General features: G+C 42.5%; 1 long non-coding RNA gene across 4 annotated transcripts in view, besides 1 other annotated feature; it reads left to right on the forward strand.

The window, feature by feature from the left end:
* The window catches only part of LOC105374910 (uncharacterized), a 102,802-nt gene that overhangs the window by 65,860 nt on the left and 17,596 nt on the right, over positions 1 to 19,346 (forward strand). For 3 of the 4 annotated variants that reach the window (XR_001743950.2, XR_926441.3, XR_926443.3), the window contains one exon: positions 14,891 to 14,976. This is a non-coding gene — a long non-coding RNA (uncharacterized LOC105374910). Of the gene's footprint in view, positions 1 to 6,073; positions 6,234 to 14,890; positions 14,977 to 19,346 lie in introns of all 4 variants that reach the window. The other variant, XR_926440.3, reaches the window with a different exon arrangement.
* Positions 5,794 to 6,315: an enhancer, noted in NCBI's record as "OCT4-NANOG hESC enhancer chr6:8230067-8230588 (GRCh37/hg19 assembly coordinates)". NCBI's record gives its function as "activates a minimal SCP1, AML or CMV promoter by ChIP-STARR-seq in naive H9 embryonic stem cells {active_cell/tissue: H9 hESC(naive)}" and the evidence as "EXISTENCE:reporter gene assay evidence [ECO:0000049][PMID:30033119]".

Genomic DNA, 19,346 nt, shown 5'->3' on the forward strand with positions numbered 1-19,346 from the left:
TTGGACTGAAGGATGCAAAGTATTGATCCTGGGTGTGTCTGTGAGTGTGTTGCCAAAGGAGATTAACATTTGAGTCAGTTGGCCGGGGAAGGCAGACCCACCCTTAATCTGGATGAGCACACTCTAATCAGCTGCCAGTGAATATAAAGCAGGCAGAAAAACGTGAAAAGGTGAGACTGGCCTAGCCTCCAAGCCTACATCTTTCTCCCATGCTGGATGCTTCCCTAGCCTCCAAGTCTACATCTTTCTCCCATGCTGGATGCTTCCTGCCTTCAAACATTGGATTCCAAATTCTCCAGTTTTGAGACTTGGCCTGGCTCTTCCCATGCTGGATGCTTCCTGCCCTCAAACATTGGATTCCAAATTCTCCAATTTTGAGACTTGAACTGGCTCTCCTTGATCCTCAGCTTGCAGACAGCCTATTGTGGGACCTTGTGATCCTGTAAGTTAATATTTAATTAACTCCCATATCTATGTCTGTGTCTATATGTATCTATCTATATCTTATTAGTTCTGTCCTTCTAGGGAACCCTGACTAATACACTCGGGTTCCAAATTTTTGGATTCAATCAACCTCGGATTGACAATATATGACAAAAACATAATAAAAAAATTAAAAAATCAATATAGTATAGCAACAATTTACATAGCTTTGAAGTACAGTATGTGTTGATTAATGATGAGATACATTTTGAGAAATGATGAATCACTGGGCAATTTCATCCTTGTGCGAATGAACACCGTGGAGTGCAGTTGCACAGACCCAGATGGTGGAGCCTGCCGCACACCTAGGCTGTGTGGTAGAAACCTTTGCTCCCAGGTCACAAAACTGCACAGGCTGGTACTGTACTGAATACTGTAGGCAATTGTGACACAATGGTAAGTGTGTGTGTGTGTGTGTGTGTGTGTGTGTGTGTGTGTTTGTGATGGAGTCTTGCTCTGTTGCCCAGGCTGGAATGCAGTGGCACAATCTCGGCTCACTGCAACCTCTGCCTTTCAGGTTTTAGTGATTCTCCTGTCTCAGACTCCCGAGTAGCTGGGACTACAGGCGCATGTCACCACACCCGGCTAATTTTTTTAAAAAATTTTTAGTAGAGACGGTGTTTCACCATGTTAGCCAAGATGGTCTCGATCTCCTGACCTTGTGATCCACCCACCTCAGCCTCCCATTGCTGGGATTACAGGCGTGAGCCACCGTACCTGGCCTGTAGTGGTGTACAGTGGTGTACAGGTGTACCATTGTTGAATGAATGGTGCTCACAGGACTGGAGGCTGCTCTGGGTGAGTCAGTGAGTGATTTGGCAGTGAAAGTGATGGCTCAGGAAGTTACTGTACCCTACTGTCAACTTTGTAAACACTGTACACTTAGGCTATACTACATTTATTAAAATTGTTTTTTCTTTCTCCGATAATAAACAGCCTATGGTAGCTTTTTAACTTCATAAACTTTAATTTAAAAAAATTTTGACTCTTATGTAATAAAACTTAGCTTAAAACACAAACTCATTATACAGCTATACAGGAATCTTTTTGTTTCTTCTTTTTTTTGAGATGGAGTTTTGCTCTTATTGTCGAGGCTGTAGTGCAATGGCATGATCTTGGCTCACTGCAACCTCTACCTCCTGGGTTCAAGCAATTCTCCTGCCTCAGCTTCCCGAGTATCTGGGATTACAGGCACCCACCACCATGCCTGGCTAATTTTTTGTGTTTTTAATACAGATGGGGTTTCACCATGTTGGTCAGGCTGGTCTTGAACTCCTGACCTCAGGTGATCCACCGGCCTCAGCCTCCCAAAGTGCTGGGATTACAGGTGTGAGCCACCGTGCCCAACCTTCTTTCTTTATATTCGTATTCTATAAGCTTTTTTCTATTTTTAAAATTTTAATTTTTTTCCTTTTTAAAATGTTGTTAAAAACTAAGACCCAAACAGTCACATTAGCCTAGGCCTACACAGGGTCAGGATCATCAATATCATTGGCCTCCATGTCCACATCTTGTCCCACTGGCCGGTCTTCAGGCATAACGGCACACATGGGGCTGTCATCTCCTATGGTAAAAATGCCTTCTTCTGGAATCCCTCTGAAGGATCTGCCTGAGACCGGTCTACTGTCTACTGTTAACTTTTTTCCTTTTTTTTTTTTTTTTTTTGAGATGAAATCTTGCTCTGTCACCCAGAGTGGAGTGCAGTGACGCCATCTTGGTTCACTGCAACGTCCACCTTCTGGGTTCAAGTGATTCTCGTGCCTCAACTTCCTGAGTAGCTGGGATTACAGGTGTGCGCCATCACGCCTGGCTCATTTTTGTTTTTTTAATAGAGACGAGGTTCCACCATGTTGGTCTTGAACTCCTGACCTCAGGTAATCTGCCCGCCTCAGCCTCCCAAAGTGCTGGGATTATACACATGAGCCACCGTGCCCGGCCAACTTTTTTCTTTTTTTATAAGTAGAAGCAATGCACTCCAAGATGATGATACAAAGTATAGTAAATACATAAACCAGTAACACAGTCGTTTATTATTGTCGTCAAGCATTATGGATTATACATAATTGCATGTGCTCTACTTTTCTTTTCTTTTCTTTTCTTTTTTTTTTTGAGACGGAGTCTTGCTCTGTCGCCCAGGCTGGAGTGCAGTGGCGCCGTCTCAGCTCACTGCAAGCTCTGCCTCCCGGGTTCACGCCATTCTCCTGCCTCAGCCTCCCGAGTAGCTGGGACTACAGGCGGCCACCACCACGCCCAGCCAATTTTTCGTATTTTTAGTAGAGACGGGGTTTCACCTTGTTCATGTGCTCTACTTTTCATGTGCTGACTGGCAGCACAGTGGGTTCGTGTACTCCAGCATCACCACAAACATGTAAGGCACGTGCTGGACCACCAGGTCAGGCCCAGGTTAGGATGGCTAAGACATCACTGGGCAATAGGAATGTTTCAGCTCCATTATAATCTTCTAGGGCCACTGCTGTTGATGCAGTCTGCTGTTGACCAAAACATCATTATGCGGTGCGTAACTGTACGCAGGAGGGTGTGCAAATATGCAAATAATATGTCACTTTATATAAGGGACTTGAGCATCCTTGGAATTTGGTATCCTTGGGAGTTTGGGAGATCCTGGAACCAATACCCCCTGTGTTGTTGAACCATACCGAGGGATGACTGTATTTGCTACATGTTAAGCTGATTCTGCAACTAACTGGCTGTAGGACATTGTGCAAATCACCTGACATGTCTGGGCCTCAGTGTTCTCATTTGTTAAATGAGGGAGCAGAACTATCTGCTTTCAAAGGTCTCTTCCAGCCGTTTATGTCTGTCATTCAAGGAAATGCTTCTTAAAGGAACATTTTAAAAAGCCTAGCTTATGAAAGCATTAGGAAGCACTTAGCTATTTTTATAGTTTGGATCAAAATTATAAGCTGTCGCTTCTTGGAAAGCTTTATTACCTCCACTTCTTAACAAAGGCTGAAGTTTAATATCATTATGTGCCCCATAATGAGGAGGCCCTAATTCAGGAGGGCGTTCATGATGATGATCACTTAAAAAGATCACTGATTTGAGAAATGGTTCAAGTCTTAATGGGCGCTGAGAATGAAGGCTGAGCGATTACTTCTTTCCTGGGCTGGTAGTGTTGATGTTTGCTCTGCTAATTGTACTTAATTTACTGTGAAGTTTTTTTTTTTTTTTTTTTTGAGACGGAGTCTCGCTCTGTCGCCCAGGCCGGACTGCGGACTGCAGTGGCGCAATCTCGGCTCACTGCAAGCTCCGCCTCCCGGGTTCACGCCATTCTCCTGCCTCAGCCTCCCGAGTAGCTGGGACTACAGGCGCCCGCCACCGCGCCCGGCTAATTTTTTGTATTTTTAGTAGAGACGGGGTTTCGCCTTGTTAGCCAGGATGGTCTCGATCTCCTGACCTCATGATCCACCCGCCTCGGCCTCCCAAAGTGCTGGGATTACAGGCGTGAGCCACCGCGCCCGGCCTACTGTGAAGTTTTTTAAGAGACTTCTGTTGCTCTGAGTGATGGTGCTACTGGGTGAGGCACTGAACTTGGAGACTATTAGTCCAAGCTACGTGAGACTTAATAGTAAAGACTCCTGAATTTCTTTTTAAGTAATTTTATTTTGAGTAAATGTATTTTATTTTTTGAAAGTCCATTTAATTTTTAATTTACAAAGTCATTCATGACTGAGTCAATTTAAACAACTCAGGAAAAACCTCAAACCCCAACGAAATTCCACTAGCTAACTGGATATATTTTAGTAAATTTATTTTAAAGTAATTTACTATGTTAAAGAAAGTGTGCTGGAGTTAGCTGAGGACTTGTGTGTCTTTTCTTTCCTTTTTTTTTTTGATATTGAGTCTCGCTCTGTCGCTCAGGCTGGAGTGCAGTGGCGCAATCTCGGCTCACTGCAGCCTCTGCCTCCCGGGTTCCAGCAATTCTCTTGCCTCAGCCTCCTGGGTAGCTGGGATTACAGGCAGATGCCACCATGCTCGGCTAATTTTTCTATTTTTAGTAGAGACAGGGTTTCACCATGTTGGCCAGGCTGGTTTCAAACTCCTGATCTCAGGTGATCTGCCTGCCTTGGCCTCTCAAAGTGCTGGGATTACAGGCGTGAGGCACCACGCCTGGCTGACTTTTGTATCTCTTCTTCACATTACTTCTTAGACACAGAAATAATTTTGTCCATCTGTTTGTGAAAAATTTGTGAAAAATCAGGAGTTGGTAATATCACCAATGGTTCTTAAAAATGAGACCAGGCTAGGGGTGGTGGCTCATATCTGTAAGCACTTTGGGAGGCCAAGGTGGGTGAATAGCTTGAGCCTGGGAGGTCAAGGCTGCAGTAAGCCGAGGTCACGCCCCTGCACCCCAGCCTAGGTGACACTGGGGGACAAAGCCAGACCCTGTTTTTTGCTTCTATTTTTGTTTTTTTTTAAAAAAGAGACCAGATAGGTATTCCTTAAAAATGGTTCTAGAGGAGCCAGTCGGCAGTTGGGATAGTGGAAATGGGAATGTCAAGAACTGAAGAGAAATGAAAGAAAATAACCTGTTGAAAAAGCTGGCCAGCCATGGTTGCTCACCCCTGAAATCCCAGCACTTTTGGAGGTCGAGGTGGGTGGGTTGCTTGAGCTCAGTAGTTTGAGACCAGCCTGCGCAACATGCGACACCCCATCTCTACAAAAGGATACAAAAATTAGCCGGGCATGGTGGCACACACCTCTAGTCCCAGCTATTCAGGAGGCTGAGGTGGGAGGATCGCTTGAGCCCATGAGGTCGAGGCTGCAGTGAGCTGAGACTGCCCTTCCCTGCAATTTCCTTCCTCCAACTGGGTCAGGACGTCTGAAGCCACATGAGGTGACAAGTCAGCAGGATGAAAGGCAAGAAAGATAAAAGTCAGTGTCTTTCACTTTACTGACCCACAAATTACTCTGCACCTCCAACTTCTGGGCATTTTGTTTTATCAGGTCCTCGTTGGTGTTTGATTTGGGGCTGCAACATAAGAGGAACTATGTATTTCCCCCAGTTAATCCCGTTTTTGAAGTAGGAAGGGGCTGACTTATATACAAAGAGAAATTGACATTAACTGGGAAATATATCACCCCTGGAAACAAACCATTACCTGGTGATCTATTTTTCCTTGATTTAAATTGTTTCTTAATTGGAATTGTTACCCGCTTGACTTGGACAGTTTTGTTTTCTATTTATTTTCCACCCACCACACAGGGGTATTTGAATAATCTTGCACGGTAAGCTATCAAATGTAATTTAAAATAAGAGGAGTCATTATTCATTATACATTGTGTTCACATTCGCAATAGCTTTCTTTACCTTGTTAGACCTCAACCACCTTCAGTTCACGAAGGAAAGCTAAGCCACAAATCAGTAGTCTCGCGATTTAAGTTGTACTTTTGCTCCAAAGATGATATGAGAGTTGAAAAACAAGACCATTTATTTACCTGGACCTGGGAAAGTAATTCTCATCTGAAAACCAGGTGTCTCTGGTTCTTCCACTAAGATTGATTGCTTTGAGTGTCAGCCAGCCCAGGCTGAGCATTCCTGAGTAATTAGGATTCACTTCATTGGCAGGCGAGTGCTGACCTCACCTTGCAAAGCTCTCTGAAGTGTCTGAGCAGAGGGTCCACTCCTCCCCGGCATACCTTTGCAGCAATATCCTGGCAGATACTTTATGTCATGTTGCCATGAACTGCATTGTTCTGCCCCAAGCCCCAGGCTACTGGAAAAAATGGTAAGTGTTCCAAGTTTAAGCTAAATAATATGTTTTTAATGAGATCATGTGCGTTGCGGATCAAAAGCATCACCAAAAGGTAAAAAGTTCAAAAAGCCCTTTACATGCACAGTGAGTTTGACCAAAGTGGCTTTCATGATCTTTCTGATAGAATTTTAAAAAGCACTTTCAAGTTTCTGATCCTAAATGTTACACTTCAGCAGGTTTTCTCCTTGCCTTTCATCACACAGAGACAGGAGCGATTCGGTGGTAGGGTACATCTATTAGCAGGACAATAACAATGCTTTGCAATCTGTGTGCTGCTGAACATAACAGGGTCTAGGAGCACTGGGGAGTGTTGTTGCAGTGGTCTGGCAATCTGATAGAATATTATCCCTTCAAAACACTGGGGAAAACCCACTAAAGCAAGCCCTGGCTTAGGAGAATTGGAGTTCTGCTCAAACCACATCTACTTCATGAGACTTTCCTAGAAATCTCCTCCATTAGAATTAACAGGAGGAAGGGAGAAATAAATCAGCATTTGCTGAGTTTCTATGAAATAATAAATACAGGCTGGGCCCAGTGGTTTGCGCCCGGAATCCCAGCATTTTGGGAGGCTGAGGCAGGAGGATTGCTTGAGGCCATGGGTTCAAGGCCAGCCTGGGCAACATAGTTAGATCCTTGACTCTATTAAAAAAAATAGCCAGGCATGGTGGTGTGTGGCTACAGTACTAGCTACTTGGGAAGCTGTGGCAGGTGCATCACTTGAGCCCAAGAGTTTGAGGTTGCAGTGAGCGCTGACCACGGCACTGCACACTCCTGCCTGAGTGACAGAGCACGACCTTGTCTCAAAAAAAAAAAAAAAAAAATCACATGTTGGGGTCTTTAGATGTATTATTTCATTTAAACTTCAAATATCCTTAGGAGGTGGCGACTGTTAACAAGCTGTTATTCCTGGCCAGGTGCGGTGGCTCAAGCCTGTAATCCCAACACTTTGGGAGGCCGAGGCAGGTGGATCACCTGAGGTCAGGAGTTCAAGCCCAACCTGGCCAACATGGTGAAACCCGCCTCTACTAAAAATACAAAAATTAGCCAGGCATGGTGGCATGCGCCTGCAATCCCAGCTACTTGGGAGTTTGAGACAGGAGAATTGCCTGAACCTGGGAGGTGGAGGTTGCAGTGAGCTGAGATCACGCCATTGCGCTCCAGTCTGGGTGACAGAGCAAGACCCTGTCTCACAAAAAAAAAAACAAAAAAACAAAAAAAACAAACTTCTTCCATTGAACATTATTTTAACCATGAATATAGAATTTCTTCAAATCATCCTTGTATAAAATTAACTTTTAAAAATAGCCTTAACTTTTAGGCTCTGTGAGGTGAGAGAGCAGAGGCCATGCACTTACTACTACCATTCATGGGCCCACTGAATGTTGGCTTCAGTGTCAGATTCTCTTATATGTATGTCATCTCCTTTAATATTTAAAAATCTCTGGAGTTTGATATTGTTTTGCTCATATCATAGATGAAGAAATTGTCTGAGAGATTGAGTAACTTGCTTAAAATCACCCAGTCAGTAAGTGGCAATGCTGAAATTTGAACTCAGTTCTGCGAGTGTAAAGCCCACATTTCTCTAGTAATATCTAGTATTTCTCTAGAAATAACATTTCTAGAGTCTTCTTGCCTCCAATCTTGGTGTTGCCCCTAGCAAAGTGTGCTTCATTGTTTCTCCAAATGAATGTATTGTGAATGATCCATTTTCCAACAAGTAGACCTGCCTTCCAGGCCCTCATCACTAGATTGCAAGCCACCTCAACACATTTGCCCGTGCCGTCTCAACACGCTTCCAACTCCGGCTTGGACTAAGTGTGACTCAAGGACAGTAGCATCAGCGTCACCTGGCACTTCATGGAAATGCACATTCTTGGATTCTTTTTCAGGCTCTGAATCTGGGGTGGCTCCCAGGAATGTGTATTTTAAAATCAAGCTTTGCAAGTGATTTTTATGCATGCTGAAGTTCAGAAACCACTTACTTAACTGCTTTTCTTGCATCTAGGCATGAATCATTCCCTCTATCCTTTAGAGAGCTGCCAGTGATTTTTTTTTTTTTTTTTTTGAGACAGGGTCTCACTCTGTTGCCCAGGCTGAATGCAGTGGTGCAATCACAGCTCACTGCAGCCTCAACCTCCCAGGTTCAAGCGATTTTCCTACCTCAGCCTCCTGAGTAGCTGGGACCACAGGTACATGCCATGATGTTTGGCTAATTTTTTGTAAAGATGGGGTTTTGCCATGTTTCCCAGTCTGTCTCAAATTCCTGGGCTCAAGCAACCCACCCACCTTGGCCTCCCAAAATGCTGGGATCACAGGCCTGAGCCGCTGCGCCCAATCTGCCAGTGATTTTTTGAAACACGCTTAGCCTCATGTTCTATAGGCTATAGCATACTTTCTCCCTAAGGAGACACTGTACCCTTGACATGCTTCTTTTCAGGAACCCACAACATTTTATTTGAGGGATTTGCTTACATGACCATTACACTCATTGGCATGGGCCCTTTGAGGAGTTGGTCTTCACCTATATAGCCCTAGTATGTAGCACCTCTGAAAACTATTGAATAAATTAAGGAAACTGCTAAGTCACGTCATTTTCTTGTGGCAAGAGGGGCTGCAAAATTTATTAATTAATCTGACATTCCTTTTTCTAAGATTTTTTGATGGTAGATTTTTCCCCAATTAAATCATATAGCTAGGAGTTGCGGGAAAAATGACAGGATCAGAGCCTGTTGTTGAAAGTCATCTACAAACATGCTGCTACTCTACTTAAGGAATCTACAATGAGATGGGTTATGCTAATTGTCCAAGCAGCCACCACTTTGCAAAGAAGCAACTGATGAGCAGAATGTTTATTTTGCAACTAAAAAAGATTAGGAAGATTTGTCCCCCTACCTTGAAATTTTGTTGAGAGCCCCAAATTAAAAATGTCATTGACAAGCATAGTGTCTTTCTTTCTTTCTCCCTTATGGAATCCAGAGTTAGAGGTTGCCCTCTCGATAGGCAGGGTGGGAGCTGACAAAATGAGGTCGTTTTAAGGCTACTAAAGATTCCATTTTGTGAGTGAACACATGGAGGCTTATGGAGTTTCAGTAATTTATCTAGAGTTCCACTGGTGGTGAGCAATGGGGCTGGGGTGGAACTCTGGTTTGCCTGATGTAAGAGGTAATGGTCTTTCCCTGCACACTGGCCTCTCAACAGAGAGTTCGCAAAGGCCTGAGCCTCAGCATCAGATCAGGTGCTTTAAAAAAATTTCTAGGTGCCACCATGGGCCTACCAAATTAGAATCTTGGAGGTACAGCCAGGGGAATTTGTATTTTTAAAAAATGTTTGGGGCTGGGTGTGGTGGCTCACGCCTGTAATCCCAGCACTTTGAGAGGCCAAGGTGGGTGGATCACCTGAGGTCAGGAGTTCGAGACTAGACTGACCAATATGGTGAAATCCCGTCTCTACTAAAAATATAAAAATTAGCCGGGTGTGGTAGTGAGCACCTGTAATCCCAGCTACTCAGGAGGCTGAGACAGGAGAATTGCCTGAACTCAGCAGGCGGAGGTTGCAGTGAGCTGAGATCATGCGACTGCACTCCAGCCTGGGTGACAAGAGTGAGACTCTGTCTCAAAAAAAAAAAAAAAAAAAGTTTGGTTATTTGTTGGTTTATTCTTTAAATTCTGATGCTTGTCCTTGTTTGGGAAATGTGGAAACAGGCAGCCCCATATTCAGAAGGACTTGAACCTGCCTCAGCCAACCTGGTAGGTATCACCACAAATTCAGTGGTTCTCAAGGGTGGTCCCCATACAGTGGCAGCAACATCATGTGGGAATTTGTTAAAAAAATGCAAATCCTGGTGCCCCACCCAGACTGCCTAAAGGGGATCTAGGGTGGTGCCTTACAATCTGTATTTTAATAGTCTTCCAGGTGATTCTAATGGTTGCTAAAATTTGAGGAACACCGATCTAATTGTTTACTGTATAAATGTACGTATTCCAGACACGGCCATTTCTAAGCTATTATCAGTTACTTGGAGCTCAGTGTAGATGAAGACTCTAAAGGAGGTGAGGAGAGACGCAGCAGCACCAGCAGCAGAGAGAGAAAGAGAGCGCGCGCTAGAGAGAGCGAGGTGAAAGGGGATGAGTGGGGTTAAGAAGGGAGGCAGGTAACTGAACAATCTACCAGACTTCCCAATTTTGCCTGAGGCCAGTCCCGCCTACCTTAGCTCCTGCCTTTCTTCTAAGAAGTAAATGTCAAAAGTAGTTTTCTTTGAAGGTGACATAGGTATTTAACACCTCAAACAGTTAGAACCCCACCAGACAGTTTTACGATGTGATAATTTACCTCTTACAAGTAAGTACACTTTGCCCAGGTAGAAACTGACTAGCTGAATCTGGGTTTCAGCAAGGAATTCTACTGAAACAATTTCTTCCTTTTTGAAGGCAAATCTGATTGAGTTTTTTTTAATTGGAAAATTATGTTCCTTTGGGCTCATTATATCACCAAAATATTAGGCTAATGATTGGTCTAAAAACCAGTGTCCAGGGATTTCTGTGGTTTAAAAAGATTAAATGAAGGACTGTAGTCTTACTTCTGCACAGTACAGAATGAACACATTTTTTTTCTTTATTTAAAAGTATTCAAATAAAACATTCATTTTTCTGCTTTTTAAAAAGTCAAAATTTTCAAATAACTTCCAATATGCACCAATTATGTGTTGGGGATACAAGGATAAACAAGGCAGGATTCTGATGCCCAAGGAGCTTCCAGTCCAGTGATAAACTTGTAGTCATGATTGACATGCACATATTCTATTCTCTGTCAGAAATCTCTTTGCCCAAGCTGTGTGCCTAGATATTAGTTACATAGTTGCCCATACAACTAGGTCTCTTACCCATAAGAATATCAAGTCAAGAGAATAACTATCAATTTGGGCATTTCAAACAGAGAGAGTTTAATTTAGTGTATTGATAACATAGGTATTAGAAGAACTGAGGAGGCAGACAGGACTATGGGGGCGCTCAGAGACTTGCAATGTGAGGAAGGGCTGAAGAGACACAGGGAAAGATGGTGTTACCAGATCCCAGAAGCTGGCTCCATTGGATGGTTCTGGAACCACAATGGGAACTGCTTGGTAGAAGCTGGAATCCTAGACAGATGTAGCTACTGCTGGAGGTGTCCATCAAAGTAGAGTGAGAAGGAGAGAATCTTTGGTTCCCCCTTTGTCTTGTGCTCCAGTCTTCTGTGAGCACCTCCCATTGAACAAATCTAAGTGGAAGCCAAGAGGACAAGCATTCTGGAAACCACCATCCCTGAGGTACAGACAGAGCAGGGGGAATGTGGAGAATGGATCTAAGGACAAAGTCCAAGGAAGGGCAAACTCTAGCTGTCCTCCTCTGAAGGAACTTCTGGTTCTTTCTTGGCTGGAGCAGGGTAAGAAAGATTCTGGAGAAGTCAGGACCACTCCCCGGGGAGGAATGTGGGGAGATGCAACCTCGTGGAAGGCAGCAGAGATAGATAGAGAAGTAAAAGCTGTGTGGAGGCATAAGGACCCCTGTCAGAACGAAGATTCTTGGATTCTCCACCAAACCCTACACTTAACCCAAATTATTTTATTTATTATTATTGTTATTTGCTTTTTTTCCTCTTGCAACAGTGGTCAATGTCTGCCTTCTACACTCAGTGAAAATCAGTCTAATGGCGAACCCACACAGATATCAATGTATCTACATTGATTTGCCTTTCAAGAACTTGGGAGGCTGAGGCAGGAGAATTGCTTGAACCCGGGAGGTAGAGGTTGCAGTGAGCTGAGATCACGCCACTGCACTCCAGCCTGGGCGACAGAGTGAGACTCTGTCTCAAAAAATAAATAAATAAATAAATAAATAAATAAATAAATAAATAAATAAAAGAACTCAGAGAAGAAATGCTTAGCTCAAAGAAAAAAAATTGCAGGCATCGTGACATTTAAGGCAAACAGATTTCGGGCAGGAGATTCCCCCTGGGACCCTCAGTGGGCTCCTGCCTCTCTACTTTAAAGAGTTTTCTGTATAGAGACCTGGTTCATCGTAATTTTACTAGGACCATTGCAAGTTGAATACAATAACCTCAGCTCAAGACAGTCCTTTTCCAGGGCCAGCGTTTAAAAAAACTTTAAAAAAAAAAAGATCCAATCCATTGTGGGCCCATACTTTGATAAAATATAATATATTATAAAAATTACTGGAAGAGTTTCATAGAAAGAGACATACAATACATAGGATCTCTTTTTTTTTTGATTAGATTCAACAGGCATATAGTGACTCTATCCAATGGTGGTGAAAATTTCCAAATTCTTATTCTTGGTCAGGTGCGGTGGCTCAAGCCTGTAATCCCAGCACTTTGGGAGGCTGAGGCTGGTGGATCATTTGAGGTCATGAGGTCGAGACCAGCCTGGCCAACACAGTGAAACCCCCGTCTCTGATAAAAATACAAAAATTAGCTGGGTGTGGTGGCGCATGCCTGTAGTCCCAGCTACTCGGGTGGCTGAAGCAGAAGAACTGTTTGAACCCAGGAGGTGGAGGTTGAAGTGAGCCGAGATTGCACCCCTGTACTGCAACCTGGGCGACAGAGTGAGACTCTGTCTGAAAAAAAGAATAATAATAATAAAAAAATTAATTCTTACTCTTGACTTTGTGCTTGCCTCCTTGTAGACCAGCCAGCCAGTTTCTGGACAGGTTCCGGTCTACTGTCCACACAAGCCTAGAAACACCATCCAAGATGGTCCTTATGATTGCAGGAGGCCACTCTGAAGGAAACTCATGTTTCCCCTTCCTGCCCTCTGTGGCCTGTGAGTTTTGGAAGTCATGGCCAAGACTGAACAAAAAGCAGGATCTGTGAGTCAGCAAGGACCTGGTGCAGAACAGATCTGAGGAGGACGCTTAGCAATAGCTGAGAAGTATTTCACCCATTCTGCCTTTATATTTATTTATTTTTGAGATGGAGTTTTGTTCCTGTTGCCCAGGCTGGAGTGCCGTGGTGCAGTCTTGGCTCACTGCAACCTCTGCCTCCCAGGTTCAAGCGATTCTCCTGCCTCAGCCTCTGGAGTAGCTGGAATTACAGACATGCACCACCACACCTGGCTAATTTTTATATTTTTAGTAGAGACGGGGTTTCACCATGTTGGCCGAGCTGGTCTCGAACTCCTGCCCTCAGGTGATCCACCCGCCTCGGCCTCCCAAAGTACTGGGATTACAGGCATGAGCCACCATGCCCGGCCCAATTCTGCCTTTTAAAGCATCTCTGTGCTTCTCACTCAGTGGAACGGGGTCTACATCTTTTCCAACTGCCTCGTTTTGTGTTCTTTTGATGCTGACAACTTGGAAAAGGCAGCAGACATATCTAAAAATGACAGTTATCTTCAGGGAAAGGAAAATGGCAAATATTAGACAAAAAAAGTATGAAGTAAATTTTTCACCCTGAAGGGCCAAAGAAATCATTAGAGTTATCTGACAGCCACAGTCTCCAGGCACATGACTTGCCCCCTGGCTATCTCATTGCTATTTATATGAGCTGGGATGTCTATCTTGCGGCCAGGGCTCAAATCAGGTGGGAGCTATAGGAACTTAGATATGGCCCAGAGTGAAAGAAACCAGGAAACCGTTATATCTGGCTTTCTAAAGTCCAGATTTCAAATTATTCATCTGGAGTTTATAATTAGCTATCTTCTCCCAACACACACACAGACACACACACACACACTCACACACACTTTTTTATTCTCTCCCTCAAAACGTCACATTGAGCAAATTAAAACTTTCGGAGTTAATAATTATTTCTCTTCTCCAAGATACTGCTATTATTTACAGAGTGAGTGGGTATTGAAATAAGGTGAAATAAAAATTGCTGCTCTTTTTCTAGGACAAAAATAATCAAGTAGACCATGAATTGGGAAATTCGAAAGCCCTCTTACTAACTCTCACACTTTTTTAAATCTACCAAATTCTGTGTTTAAAAAGTTGCCATGATTGAAGTGTTATTAGAGTAATAATAATTGAAGTTAAATACATACCTACAGAATGTACTGTCAAATGCAATTACATAGTGGTGCCGTGTTCCTCTCCGGTTGAGGAATAGGTTCTTTCTCCTGCCCTTTATTAAAGTTTAAAGGGAGTGCTGACTTGGTGCTAGGAAAAGGGGTGGGGAATGAGCTTTCTTGCAGCTGACCTTCAGGAGCGGCTGTGTTGCCTGCAGCACTGCTCTTAAACATGCCAGAATGCAGTAATGTCTGAGAAGGAATGTTAAAACCAAACCAAAAAACCCAAACCAAAAAACCCTCATCTCCAAATCAGCCCCCAAATTCATCTCCCAAGATCTGTTTTTGACGTGTCTTGATCATCATTCTCCTGGCAGCTAAAATCCTAAGCCACATGTCAGTGCGTTCATCAAAAAGAGGCTTGACTGTATTTTCTTCATATTGTTTCAGTGATAGATTCTAATCACCAGAACTTAAAAACCTGTTCCCACAATCTTTTGACAAGTCAAAATTTCTCCATTTCAGCCTTTAGCATGATAAAAAAAAATCAGAAACCTCCGTATGTATTGAAATTCTCACTGCTGCCGAGTATCCGCCTTTTCTCTGAAGATCATGTCTTCTTTTTGACTAGGTTGAAGACCTGAAAACTGTGACCCCTGTTGCCTAGCAACTGAGAAGCTCAGCCTCAACTCCGGGTGGGGGAGATGATGGAGAAAGGTCAGTGAAAGAGGCGGGCCTGTCCTTATCAATATGCCACTGTGGCAGCGACTTTTATTTCTTTAGAGTAATATATCATAATAAGTTTTGTAGGTCTTTATACTGTGGTTCTCCCTTTTGAATAAAAGCATAACTAAGACTTGAGGGGATGTCTGATATAACAGAAAATGTAACCATAAAAAAAAAACCCAGAATAGAAATGATCTGACTGCTGAGTACCCTGCCGAGCTGCCTGAGGCAGTTACACATTTCCATTGAGTTATTTTATGATCAGGCCAGTATGTTATTGAAATATTATCTCTTTAGCCTTTCTCATTCTGATAAGAAATGACAGGCTCTCAGAACAGCAATACATACAGAGTACAAAATATGGAGCTGTGGACAAAATTCAGTCGGGGTGAAGAACATTGGCTTTGGAGAATTTCCATGAAAACCAATTATCCTTGGGTTGTATTTTCAAATAGGGCATGGTACACACTCTAATGTCCACTTTAATTGTGATGAGAATTTGCAGCCTCCGTCGATGATTACATTTAGCCCAATTACTGAACAACATTCAAGAAAGATTGCATTGTTTTTAGTAACCTCACTTAAGATGCAATTTCTTTAGCAAATAATGAAATGCTGTAATGTTTCAGAAGCACAGGTAAGAGTTGCAATCTGGATTTGAAGGGTCACTCAGGAAAAAAGGGGAAGGAGATGAAACAAAGAATGTAACATTTCAAGTTAAGTCTTCTGAAAGTGGTCTGATTTAGAACTATTTTGGAAACGACACGCAATATATACAGCTTTGTTAGCTTATTTATCAACATATCGCTGGAGGATCCTGATCTTATTATTGTCTACTCCTTGCTTCTTTATTGTTACTTAATATGTAAGCCATTTCACATAAATAAAATCGATATGTATATATTTATAGATACGTAAGGGAGACACATGGTGTCTCGGGCTGGGTGTCAGGAAACCTGCGATTTATTCTCCAATCTGCATGTGACTAGCTGTGTAACCTTTGGGCAAGCTACAACTTCTCAGGGTCTCAGCATTATCCCCTGTAGAATGAAGAACTTGAACTACATAATTTCCGCCATCGTTCCCTATGATTCTTTTCACTCCCTATCAGCTACATTTTTCCCTCGGTTCTTTCTTCTGTTGCCCAGATATAGATAATCACATTTCTTCTTATGCAAAGTTTGATATCCATGTGATTTTGTATAATCGCCACTTTGTGTGTCTTTGAGACTTTTTGACCTTCTGACAAGTGACTTGTAAGAGGATATAAATTTAGGTGTTCCCAATTATTAGCATTGTTTTCCGTTTTTATAAATTGACCTTCCACAAATCTGAAGTTAGCGTTTTCTTCTGTTCAGCCCAGTCTCCGTGAACTTACGGGATTCATGACTGTTTTGCTTTTCTCCTCCCTTCTTCTTCTTTTTTTTTTAGATAGCATTAATGTAGAAGCAGATGCTGTCTCTCTCTTCACAAATGCTGCACAGTGAATCATCGTAGCCTCTCTGTAAAACTTTAACTTAATGGAGTCCTGGCATTTCTGATGAGACGAGGAACTTAATTTCATAGAACAACCTATTGGACAAGCTGTTCTTGGACATTCCCGTCTCAACTAAATGTTAAAAGTATTAAAATTCACATTAGCACCAGAGGAAATTTTGCATGGGTAATCCTTTAATACAGTGTTTTATGGCTCTATTAGCTGCACAGCAGCTGGTGACATGATGAATTTAATCCATTAAAAAATTCACTAAGAGGTTTGAAAGTCAGCTTTTTAAAACATTATGTTGCTGCAAGGAAAGAGAACTTCTCCTCGGGGCCAGAAACAGGGTGGCTTCACACTGAGGCAGGTACAGGAAACACACCTGCACGCAAAACTTTCACATGCTTGGATGTTTGCACTTAGAGGAGAGCTAGAATGATAGGTGAGAATTCAGGACACAGGCTGAGAAGGGGCTGACACAGTGCAACAATTCTGACTCAATCTCCTACTTGTTTCTTGCTTTTAAGAGAAGGTTTAATATAGATATTAAATGATGGTGTTATTTTTGAACGTGCTAACATGTTTTCTTGTGCTGATGTATGTCTTCGTGTAAAATCAGAAATGCTTCAAGCCTTTAATTAGAGACCTAATTATTTATCTTGAGAGAATTTAAGTAAGAAAATGTTTTCCACCCTTGATATAAGTAAGCTTCTTTGCAAAGTTAACTGTGTGGAAAGGTTTTGGCCTGAGGAATTTGAGGTCTTACTTCAAAGAAATGCTGTAGATTTGAATGTCTATAGGGCATTGGAATGGATCCTGGGCACAGGATGTCTAAGTTGCACCTTGGATGGCTTAGTGAGTAAGGACCAGTCCAGGAATAGACTAATGGTTTTAACCAGTAGGCTTTGAATTCTTACACTGATCTTTCCAAATAAGACTGTCTCAAAAAAAAAAAAAATGTACCTTGTCCAGCCCTAACAGATTTTGCAAGCTGCTAGGTAGGATTATTGTTCTCAAAGTCATGAGTTTGGTAAAAGGAGAATTAGTTTGTAACGAATATGTATTTCTGAGCAGAGGCAGTAACAGGTCACCTTGGATCAAATTGCCCAACATCCACAAATGAGTTTGTCACTGTATTCAACCCTCATGAGTGAAAAAATAGGCAGCTTAACTTAGCAGTGGTTTTTACCTAAACAACTCATTTATGTAATTCCCATGTTCATGTGAAGTCACTTATGTTATATCCTCACTTAGCATAACTTGATGTAGAAGGGGAATTGCTATTTCTTGTGGTGCAGCTATTATGGATCGTAAGAGCAGAAATGAAATCCACTTCATCTGCCTCGCAGGAGATCTGTAATGGTCCCGAAAGTGTAAATAAACCACCAGGTTGAAAATGGAAACAGCCATTGTATTCTTGAGTATTAAAAATTGGTTTATTTTTCTTCCAACATGAGAGGCTTCATTTTTCTAGAATTGCTACCTGGCTATGAAAGGTCCTTCCCTCTGTCCCATGGAAGGGGACATGAACATTCTAAAATTATTTTCCATAATCTCCCCCACCAAAAATGCTACCAATAGTTTGCCTTTTAATGGAAAATTTGATGTATTAGAAAACAGTTGAACTTGAGAGCTAAGAGCTGTTAGCTTGAGTGAAATCTGGTTTGATAATATCTCACCCTGTGTTTGAGGCTGATTGATCTAGATGCACCTCCTTGCCCCCTGTGCTTTTACAAAGACCCCTTTCATGGGTGTGCAGTAATGTGTTTCTTTTTCCAATCTACATGGTTCCTTGTGACTGAGCCTGTTGTAAGAAGGGTTATGCAGTCTGAGTGCCCGACTAATGATACTGCCTTCTGTAAAAAAAAAAAAAAAAAGAAAAAAAGAAACACAAACTCCATAACAATGATTTCCTTATTGAAAAAAAATGCATAACCAAAATCCAGTCAATAGTGTCATCATAACCGTACACGCCATTTCCATATACACAGTATTTTCTTAAGCAAGAAGGATTGTGGTTGACATTTTCGATTTTATAGTAAAGCATCAGACAAATGTAAAATAATGACATCTTTTTGACAAGCGTAGGTATTTTGATAGCATTTAGTACGGTACTTCCATTCCCAAAGAATCTGTAAATGAGAGCAATTTGTGTTTCTCCATGGTTTGATTGATTCCAGTGATTCTTGAATTGCCACTACAGGATAGTACAGGGTGGGCCATGCTGGGTTACTTGAGGCGTAATTAGCTAATCCTAGCATCCAAGAAAAACCCCTTAGCCACTTCAACTTCTTCTCTGCTTTCTCCTCCTCGCAGTGCAGTGCTGGGGAATGTTTGACACCGTCCTCCTCTCTCATATATGTGAACATTGATAGCCTCTGCGAACTGGCCCCACAGTTGTCAATTTTTTGACTGTGGGCTGAGACCCATTAGCTCAAATGCTTACTAGTGCCCAATCCAAATTTGTACACATCAGTTATTTTTAAAATAGCTCAAACAAGCAAATTTTGAAGCCATTTAGAAACTGCCTGATTTGCATACCTGCATAACCTCACCCAACAGCTGTCATCTATTGATAATACACGGCCTTCCCATGATAAAATCCCAAGCTGCTATTCTTCCCAATGAGCCCTCTGAGCTCCCTGACCCAGAGACTGCTCTCTGTGCTGCTGTGCCACATCACTAGACATCTGAGCCCCTCTTCTCCCCTCTTCTCCTGGAGAGTTGCCTATGCTCCCCCATTCTGAGCAGCGGCCTCTGCTTTTTAGCCTCTGAACAGACTTCTTCTATGAGGGACTTTCTCCCCCATGCAACCCTGTCCAAGCACCAAGCTTGTTATGTGTTGCTGTTTCTTAATCACTCCCAAATCCCTCAAACCCCT

The sequence above is a fragment of the Homo sapiens genome, chromosome 6 (assembly GCF_000001405.40).
Source record: "Homo sapiens chromosome 6, GRCh38.p14 Primary Assembly".
In the NCBI taxonomy this organism is placed as follows: domain Eukaryota; kingdom Metazoa; phylum Chordata; class Mammalia; order Primates; family Hominidae; genus Homo; species Homo sapiens.